Below are 10872 nucleotides of genomic sequence, written 5' to 3'. Positions count from 1 at the left end.
TCAGCATGGAGTACAGATATTTTTTGAGACAGTAATTTTAATTTTTTAAAATATATACCCCAAAATGGGATTTTTGGATCATATGGTAGTTCTAGTTTAATTTTTAAAGTAAATTGCACACATTTTTTACAGTGGCTATACCATTTTATATTCCCACTAATAGTGTACAAAGTTTCCTTTTTCTCCACACCCTTACCAATACTTTTTATCTGCCTTTTATGTAAGAGCCATTCTAACAGGTGTGAGGTGATATCTTATTGTGGTTTGATTTGAGTTTCCTTGATGACTAGTGATGCAGAACATCGTCTTATATATATATTTCCAATTTGTATGACTTCTTTGTAGAAATATCTATTCAGTTCCTTTGCTCATTTTTTTTAGTCAGGTTAAATTTTTATTTGTGTTATTATTTATTTATTTAGCTCTTGAGTTGTAGGAGGTTCATGCATATTTTAGATGTTGATGTTCTATCAAATATATGGCTTGCCAATATTTTATTCCATTCCACAGGTTGCCTTTTCATTTTGTTCATTATTTTCTTTGTTGTGCAGAAGTTTTTAGTTTGATATAGTTCCACTTACCTATTTTTGTTTTTTTGCATGTTACTTTAAATAACCAAAACAATTATAAGTAATAAGAACAATGCTGTTTAGGAATTTGTCCACTTATAGGCTTTTCAATTTGTTGGTTTACATTTGTTTATAATAATCTCTAGTAAGCCATTGTATTTCTGTGGTGTCAGTTGTAATGTCTCCTTTTTATTCCTTATTTTATTTATTTTAGTTGTCTCTCCTTTTTCTCCCGTTAGTCTAAAGGGTTGTTGATTTTATCTTTTTTAATATGCCCAGTGTTCCATTATTGGAACTCTAAGCATGTGGGAGTTATTTATATCCTACTGTTCAAGGTCATCTCCAAGGTCTGATTTTTCACAAATGTCTGCCTTCTGGGGTACATATTATCACATAATGCGCAGAGTTAGTCACTGCTGCAGATACTGGCGTGCTGGGAGCTTGTCAAGTAGTGATGTGAGTTTTTGGAAACATTTTTGAAGCAATATCAAAAGACAAGTACATGTAATTTTACTGCACTATATCCTATGCTAGTAATTGTGCTGTAGAAAGAAAATACCGAAATTATTATTGTTGCATTAGTTATGGGTTTGACATTTTGTATGTTCCATTTTTGGAACACTCGGCAAACCACTACCACTAGGACTAATAATCACTTTTTTGAGTTTTAGTCCCAAGATGTCTCAAACTCTAAGTTTACATGAAATAACCTTTAAATACAGATGACAGCATAGAAGCAAGTACTATTCTGATACAACCACCTGAAAATGCTACAGCACCTGTTTCTGATGAGGACTCCGGGGACGAAGAAGGTGGAACAATAAAAAATCTGCCAGGTTCTTTGTTGCGCGCAACTGCAAATCTTATAAAGGTGATTCTGATGCAGAGTCTAACTCTGATGATCCCTCATACGCACTTAAATTTGACTCTCCTGACGAAGATCCATCTACGTCTACCGCGCAGCAACTTCCACCATCAAGGAGGAGGAAAGTGACAAAAATTGTTTGCAAATGGAAGAGAGGGACCTAACTGCACAACTTGTAGCAGGTAGAATTACAGAACCACCAAACGATTTATTCACCGAAATGAGAACTCCCACAGAAATTCTGGAACTTTTTCATGATGACGAAGTCGTTGAACTCATTGTCAAGTACTCCAACTTACAGGCTCGAAGTTAAGGGTGTACATCTTGGCTTGACTAGCTCCGAATTCAAATATTTTCTGGGAATTATTTTTCTGAGTGGTTACATCTCAGTTCCTAGAAGCCGTATGTTTTGGGAACAACAACAACAACAAACCAGATGCGCATAATGTACTGGTTATTGCTGCCATGAGACGTGACCGCTTTGAAACTAAATTTTCTAATTTGCATGTTGCTGACGATGCAAATTTGGATCCAATGGACAAATTTTCCAAGTTGCGACTTCTCATAAGCAAACGTAATGAGAGATGTATGAAATTTGTTCCAAATGAGACATATTTCAGCTTTAATGAATCCATGGTTCCTTATTCTGGTTGTCACAGGTGCAAACAATTTATTCAGGGAAAGCCCATTATGTTTGGCTGTAAGTTTTGTTGTGGTGCCACATGTCTGTGCCACATTTGCTGCTTTCAGCCGTATCAGGGTAAAAACCCAAATACTAAATATGAAGAATACGGTGTTGGTGCATCACTTATTCATAAGTTTAGTGAGGGACTTACACACACCCTGGACAATATCATTTTGTATTCGATAACTTTTTCACCAGTATTGCACTTCTTGATAAGCTCAGTTCAATGGAACATCAGGCAACAGGTACAGTGAGAAAGGATCGCATTAACAAAGCCCCACTGGAATCAGATGTAGCTCTAAAGAAAAAAGAAATCATATTCAATTACGGAATTGATGGCAAAGGCAATGTTGTCTGCAGATTGATATTTTCTTTATATATTTAAGTGCTCCAATATTGGGTGCATATATATTTATGAGTATTATATCCTCTTGCTGTATTGACTTCTTTATCATTATGTAATGACCTTTGTCTCTTGTTATAGTTTTTGGCTTAAAATCTATTTTATCTCATGTAAGTATAGCTACTCTTACTCTTTCTTGGTTTCCATTTACATGGAATATTATCTTTCATCCCTATAGTTTTAGTCTATGTGTGTCTTTATGAGTGAAGTGTTTCTTGTTGGGTATTATTTTTCATCCACTAAGCTACTCTATTTCTCTGAGTTGGAAAATTTAATCCAGTTACATTCAAGGTAGTTATTGACAGGTAATGGCTTACTCCTGCCATGTTGTTGTTTGCTTTCTAGTTGCTTTGTAAGTTGTTTCTTCTTTTCTTCAACTCTTACTATCTTCCTTTGCGGTTAAGTGGCTTTGTCAAGTAGTATGTTTTGATTCCACTTTTTTAAAAAAATTTTTAGTGTATTATTATAGGTTTTTGCTTTATGTTATCATGAAGCTTACAAAATATCTTATAACAAGTAATTGTAAGTGTATAAAAACTTAAGTTTGATCACAAATAAAAGAAAAAAACATACAAAGAAAAAATCCTACACTTTAACAATTGCCCGATACATATTTTGAATTTTTTATTTATTTTTTAAGATTGTATAACTTTTATCCCTTAACACATAAAGAAAGTGCAATTTCATAAATCCATTGTGGAAAATAGTATTTACGTTCCTCAAATATTAAAAATATAACTACCATATGATTAGCAATCCCGCCACTTAGTATATATCTAAATAAATAAAATCAGCATACCAAAGAAATATCTGTACTCCTACATTTATTATATAGCACTATTTGCAGTAGCCAAAATATGGAATCAACCTAATTATCCATCAATAAATGAATGGATAAAGAAAATGCAGAATATTTGTACTACAAAATACTATTCTGCAATGAAAAATGACTTAAATTTTATCATTTATGGCAACTTGGATAAGCCTGGAGGACATTATGTTAATTGAAATAAACCAGACACATCAAGACAAATACCACATAATCTTACTCGCATGTAAAATTTTAAAAAGTTGATCTCATCGAAGTGGAGAGCAGCATAGTTGTTTTACTGGAAGCTTTGAAGGGTTGAGGGTAGGGTGGATGGGGAAAGGTTGGTCAAAACATACAAAGTTCCAGTAATATAGGAGGAATAAATTCTAGTGTTCCATTGCATAACAATGTGACTAGTTAACAATTATGTATTTCAAAGTAACTAGAAGAGAAGATATTGAATGATCTCAGCACAAAGAAATGATTAGTGTTTGAGGTTATGGATATGCTAATTACCTTAGTTTGATCATTACACATTGTATACGTGTATTGAAACATCACACTGTACCCTCAAAATATGTACAAGTGTTATGTCTCAATTAAATACAAAATCAAACAAAACAAACAAGAGAAAACCTGGAGAAATCACACTTCTGGATTTTAAAATATATTGCATAGCTACAGTAATCAAAATTATATAGTACTGGCATAAAAAAGACATACAGACCAGTGGAAGAGAATGGAGCGCTCAGAAATAATACCATGCTTGTACATTCGACTGATCTTTGACATAAGTGCAAAGAATATACAATGAAGAAAAAGTCTGTTTAATGAGTAGTGCTGGGAAAACTGAAATATCTGCTTGCAAAATAATGAAATTGGACGCTGATCTTACCTTACATAGAATAATTAACTCACTGAGTTGTAGATACAAACATAAAGGGAAAGCTTCTTGACATTGATCTTGGCAATGATTTTTTGGGTATAATATCTATTGTTCTTATATGTACATATTGTCCGCTATTGGCTTCAGGTATGAAATTTCTGCTCAGCTCTGCTTTACCATCTTCTTATTCCTGAATAAAATCCAAAGGAGCAGCCATTATTTGAGCTATTTGGTCTCATGTTAGAGAAAAAACAGCAAGAGAGACGGTAAAACAGGTGGTGTATTTTATGGCATTTTCAAGGAAATGGCACAATGTCACTTCGCTAACATACCAATTGACAAAAGAAATTACACCATCAAGACCAGTGTCAGTTGGGGAGGAAGCACGTGCCTCATGGGAGTCACTGCAAGACACATCTTGCAGTGATCAAGATTGAATAATACTCTTTTATAGTGAAGGAACGAATAGTCAGAGTCAATAAGACAACTACCCTATCACTATGTAGACTCTAAGATATAGAGGCATACGCCAAGTGTTAATTACCCCGAAAGTACTATAACAGAACAGTTTTTAAAAACAGCAACAATTGAGCATTTATTTCTCAATTTTCTAGCTATTCAATAAATGTTTATTGCATAGCTCTTAATGACAGGCATTTAGTTATACAAACTTTAACAGATATTAACCCTGAACTAATGTAATTATCACATAGTATACAAATGGAAAGTAAGTAATAAGAACTTATTATGCATTGTGATACTGGTATGGAAGGCTAAGTATGTGGTGTTCTTAATAGGAGCAAGTGAAGGAAACTGCCTTGACTCAGATGTAACAAAAAACTGATCTTCAATTGAGAGGGTCATGAAATAGATCTGGAGTAAATCAGAAACTAGAAAACTTGAAAGTCAAAAGAAAAACAAGAGACATTTAGGAAAATCAATTTATAGGACTGCCTATACTAGATTTTTAATATAGTCTCTGAGGCTATGTACTATGTTTTAATGTAGGCCATTTTGTAATTTCCTTCAGTTCAGATTTTACTGTAAATATATTCTTTATTTATTATGTGGAAATAATAGATAGTTTTCTATAAAAACCAATAACTTGGGAAAATCAAGATTCTGAAGCATGCTTAATAATGACAACAATTTAAATTTAATGCTGACTAAGAAAATGTGAGAAAATTTCAAAAAATTAATGGATATGAAAAACTTTAGAAGGACTTCATGGTGTCCATTCATTGTTCAGCTTATTTCAGAATAAAAAAAATTAATTTTGTAGTAGCAATATATTTTCTACAGATATTCTACATTAAGTGTGTTTAAAATATATATAAATTAAAACGCGAGTTTATATAAATCATTTTGTATGTGAATTGATGAAAACCAAATAGTGTATTTACTTAATACCTGGGAATAAAAATATAAGTAGTAGTGAAAATGGCCATACTGCCCAAGGTAATTTACAGATTCAATGCCATCCCCATCAAGCTACCAATGACTTTCTTCACAGAATTGGAAAAAACTACTTTAAAGTTCATATGGAACCAAAAAAGAGCCCGCATTGCCAAGTCAATCCTAAGCCAAAAGAACAAAGCTGGAGGCATCACACTACCTGACTTCAAACTATACTACAAGGCTACAGTAACCAAAACAGCATGGTACTGGTACCAAAACAGAGATATAGATCAATGGAACAGAACAGAGCCCTCAGAAATAATGCCGCATACCTACAACTATCTGATCTTTGACAAACCTGAGAAAAACAAGCAATGGGGAAAGGATTCCCTATTTAACAAATGGTGCTGGGAAAACTGGCTAGCCATATGTAGGAAGCTGAAACTGGATCCCTTCCTTACACCTTATACAAAAATCAATTCAAGATGGATTAAAGATTTAAATGTTAGACCTAAAACCATAAAAACCCTAGAAGAAAACCTAGGCATGACCATTCAGGACATAGGCATGGGCAAGGACTTCATGTCCAAAACACCAAAAGCAATGGCAACCAAAGCCAAAACTGACAAATGGGATCTAATTAAACTAAAGAGCTTCTGCACAGCAAAAGAAACTACCATCAGAGTGAACAGGCAACCTACAAAATGGGAGAAAATTTTTGCAACCTACTCATCTGACAAAGGGCTAATATCCCGAATCTACAATGAACTCAAACAAATTTACAAGAAAAAAACAAACAACCCCATCAAAAAGTGGGCGAAGGACATGAACAGACACTTCTCAAAAGAAGACATTTATGCAGCCAAAAAACACATGAAAAAATGCTCATCATCACTTGCCATCAGAGAAATGCAAATCAAAACCACAATGAGATACCATCTCACACCAGTTAGAATGGCAATCATTAAAAAGTCAGGAAACAACAGGTGCTGGAGAGGATGTGGAGAAATAGGAACACTTTTACACTGTTGGTGGGACTGTAAACTAGTTCAACCATTGTGGAAGTCAGTGTGGCGATTCCTCAGGGATCTAGAACTAGAAATACCATTTGACCCAGCCATCCCATTACTGGGTATATACCCAAATGACTATAAATCATGCTGCTATAAAGACACATGCACACATATGTTTATTGCGGCATTATTCACAATAGCAAAGACTTGGAACCAACCCAAATGTCCAACAATGATAGACTGGATTAAGAAAATGTGGCACATATACACCATGGAATACTATGCAGCCATAAAAATGATGAGTTCATGTCCTTTGTAGGGACATGGATGAAATTGGAAATCATCATTCTCAGTAAACTATCGCAAGAACAAAAAACCAAACACCGCATATTCTCACTCATAGGTGGGAATTGAACAATGAGATCATATGGACACAGGAAGGGGAACATCACACTCTGGGGACTGTGGTGGGGTGGGGGGAGGGGGGAGGGATAGCACTGGGAGATATACCTAATGCTAGATGACGAGTTAGTGGGTGCAGCGCACCAGCATGGCACATGTATACATATGTAACTAACCTGCACAATGTGCACATGTACCCTAAAACTTAAAGTATAATAAAAAAAAAAAGATAAGTAGTAAAAAGTGTTAAAATATAAACCTAAGCCCATGTTAAATTTTTGTTTTATCTAATATATTTGCGTGGATATAGAATATACCATGCATACTAATAGTGTATGCATATATTTATATATACATGTACGTTAACTACGTGAATTACAATGTATAATGACTACTGTGAGGCTATCCATAGAGTACTAAAAAGACCTCTGACATAAGAACACTGGAAAGAGGACTCCAACTAATTAGAGTTATGAAAGCATATGGGTAACAAAGCTGTCTGAGCATGAATTTTCTCTTTTTAAATGGAAAACTTTCAGAATACAATAATATCTAAAGTTCTTTCAATATTTAACATTCTTTTATACAAATAAATATTGGAAAATGGAAGCATAGAATTGATTTAGTTTTCCAATTAGCAATGGACCAGACAGAAACACTGAAACTATTTTTTGACAATTTATTCCAAGGAGGACCTTTATTTTTATATTTTAAGCACTCTGATTTTATCCACTGTCCTTGAATTGTAAGGAAGGGTGGAAAAGTAAAATTTCTGTGCATCTATTTTATTCACTTCTTGACTTAATATGCCTGCATTTTATCACCTTTTCCCTTTCATTTCTTTAGAGCAATTCAGTCTAGTCTTTTTAATCTCCCCCTCATTCAGAGCACCCTCCTGTAGTATTACCCATGATTACAATCCTTTTCATTGTCCTTCACTGGACCTTTTCTATTTATGACAGTTTTATTTAGAAATGAGATGACCACAAATAAAAACTTTATTAAAACTTTATTAAAGGTGAAACTGCTCAAAGCACTATGATGAGTGTTGTAGGTGAATACCATTTTAGAGTAAGAAATATCTGTTCTTAATAATTTTATATGTTAGCAAAGCAGTTAGACATTTTCACAAATTTATCTGAAATACTGTGACAGAATATAGTCATAAAGTACTGTGGAGGAGAAATAATTTCTTTTGGGGGAGAGAGAATGATGACATAATCAGGAACATACGTTCAATGCAGGACAAACTTTCAGTAACTATTATATTGCCACAGGCCATATCAATTCAGTATTAAAACTTGAAACCTTTAGATAAATATTAGCATCCACCAGCCTTCATCATATAAACATCAAATAAAGAGACAATACTCATAAAATGTAGGTGCTTCAGTTCTTATTTCTGTAGCTGATAATACTCCCTAAGTTGATGTTAATACCCTTCCTTTTTATACCACCATTCTGAGTCCCCTTATCCATTGTTATTAGCTTGGCTGGGACAATTACATAATTTTGATTCCCACAGGATTCATGTCTTGGTGGTCCCAAGACATAGTGGTTTAGGTTTGTCGTACCTGGTTACTGCCAATACAGTTCATAGAACTCATGGCTGTCCTCTCCACGATAGTAAGAATCAGTGTAATCAACCTTTTACCAAGAAACTGACCACTAATGAAAGACCATGGTGTCTTGGATTATAGTTTTAGGCTTTGGTGTTGGAGGGTTGGACAATAAATAGCTTTGGTGGATCTGCTTTTGTGAAGGGAAGTCCACCACATAAAACTATGCATAGTCCATCCTTCCATCACAGAAGTTTTGTACATAGACCCATTGAGCAAACATTAGTGTGACTTGGAAGAGAAGTTTACTGAAATTCAAAAGACAAATTTTCTTATACATGGATTGATAGTATTCTCTGCCGTGAATATCTTGTGAAGGTCATTAATGCATGCTACAGACATCACGTTCTGTATCCTTCCTGATAGACTCATTCACATATCTCTCTGACAGACTGTCTTGCTTCAACCTTCTAATCACAACATTCCAAAGTTTTTGATCATTTGACCAATGCATTAGCCATTACCCATGAATTAACTTACAATTCAGGTTATGTCAACATTTACACAAAACAGAGAATCCTAAGCATTACCCAAGTTATTCCAGTTAGGAAGACTTCTCTTCACCATTGTACTTTAGGTTTGTCTCTAAGAGAGGCTTTAGTGCAGTGATGATCTATTAACAGCTGTGGCCAGAATCCCATGCAGGATCACCTGAGTCACACTTGCACTTTTTCCTCCTTTAATCTGGTGATATATTACTTTCATTGTATGAAAGTTGTGAGTTGAGAGAAAGGTGGTGAGGCAGGATAAACATATATCATGGGAATATGAGCCAATTTTAAGGTAATAGATGTATGTGTTCCACATGAGCTTAAGCCTGAACGAATACATACCATATTCATTTAAGAAGGGTGTGCTGCGGCTGGGCGCGGTTGCTCGCACCTGTAATCCCAGCACTTTGGGAGGCCAAGGCAGGTGGATCACGAGGTCAGGAGATTGAGACCATCCTGGCTAACACGGTGAAACCCCGTCTCTACTAAAAATACAAACAATTAGCTGGGCGTGGTGGCGGGCGCCTGTAGTCCCAGCTACTTGGGAGGCTGAGGCAGGAGAATGGTGTGAACCCGGGAGGCGGAGCTTGCAGTGAGCTGAGATCTGAGATCGTGCCACTGCAGTCCAGCCTGGGCGACAGAGCAAGACTCCGTCTCAAAAAAAAAAAAAAAAAAAAAAAAAAAAAAAAAAAAAAAAAAGAAAAGAAAAAAAAGAAGGGTATGCTGCTATATGTGTGAAATGTGTAATTTGTTGTACCACATAACACTTAAAAGGAAATTTGGATTACATGGTCACTTGGTATCTCCTGATCAGATATTAATTCTCTATCAGGGACCACTGAAAGCTAAAGCTACTTTTCAAATAATGTCAGAATTGCTTTCTATTAACCTTACCACAGACTCAATGCAGTATACCTATCTTCCAAAATTATTTCAGAAATAATAGGGTCAATTGTGCCTTAGGTTTAAATGACAGAGAAGCTTGAATGTCAGCCCTGTGCTGCTAAAACTTCTTTGGTCTAAACCACATCAAAACTAGCAACACTTTGAGTTATTCATTAACAGGTTGATCATCACACTCAGATATGACATATGTTGCTTCCAAAATCATATATATTGCCCATAAGTATTGTGCAAGGAGAAGCAAATTGTTTATGAATTTAAGTGAGGTATTTAATGCACATCAGACCAAAGGATCCAAAAAAAGAATTGCTAGGTACTTCAATATTTGGGGGATTTAGCTCCCATCCTCAGACCTACATTCATTTTACTGATACATCTATATTGTTTGTTATTTTATATCTTCCATATCTAACTGTCATGATTTTGTCAATGTGATGGGCTATTGTGATGTTCTATGGGAAATTAAGACAATCAAATTCCTCTAGACTATGATATACTGGAGAGCAAATTTATACTGCTCTCCCTGCTCCTGATTATCTTAACTCATCAGGATTGAAAAAAGTTTGAACTAACTTGCTGTATACCACGTTATGGTGATTGGCTTTATTTGCTCAAGTAAGATATCACATATACAACCAGCAGCTGCCATCAGCATCAATACCCAATATTGACATCAATCTAGTTATCCTACAACTTGATGAATCTGGTGTCTGCCACCAGAAATGTGAATTAAAGGGAATATGATATAATCTCAACTCCTGTGTTTTTCAAGACACTAATGATACTCTTTATCTTCTTTGGATTTGATATTATTTTGGTTTGGTTCT

At 34.9% G+C, this 10872-nt stretch overlaps 1 long non-coding RNA gene and 1 pseudogene across 1 annotated transcript; one reads left to right on the top strand and one right to left on the bottom strand.

Moving 5' to 3' along the window:
* On the top strand, positions 1232-2486 carry PGBD3P2 (piggyBac transposable element derived 3 pseudogene 2; annotated as a pseudogene).
* LOC105374704 (uncharacterized) lies at positions 2082-3625 on the bottom strand. The gene is made up of 2 exons (NR_134264.1): positions 3572-3625; positions 2082-2417 (listed from the first exon to the last, which is right to left on the bottom strand). It is a non-coding gene; the product is annotated as an uncharacterized LOC105374704 (long non-coding RNA).
* Positions 3626-10872: the final 7247 nt, after the last annotated feature.

This window comes from Homo sapiens, chromosome 5, assembly GCF_000001405.40.
Source record: "Homo sapiens chromosome 5, GRCh38.p14 Primary Assembly".
In the NCBI taxonomy this organism is placed as follows: Eukaryota; Metazoa; Chordata; class Mammalia; order Primates; family Hominidae; genus Homo; species Homo sapiens.
Note: the sequence above shows the minus strand (reverse complement) of the source record. Positions and strands in the feature narration are given on the sequence as shown.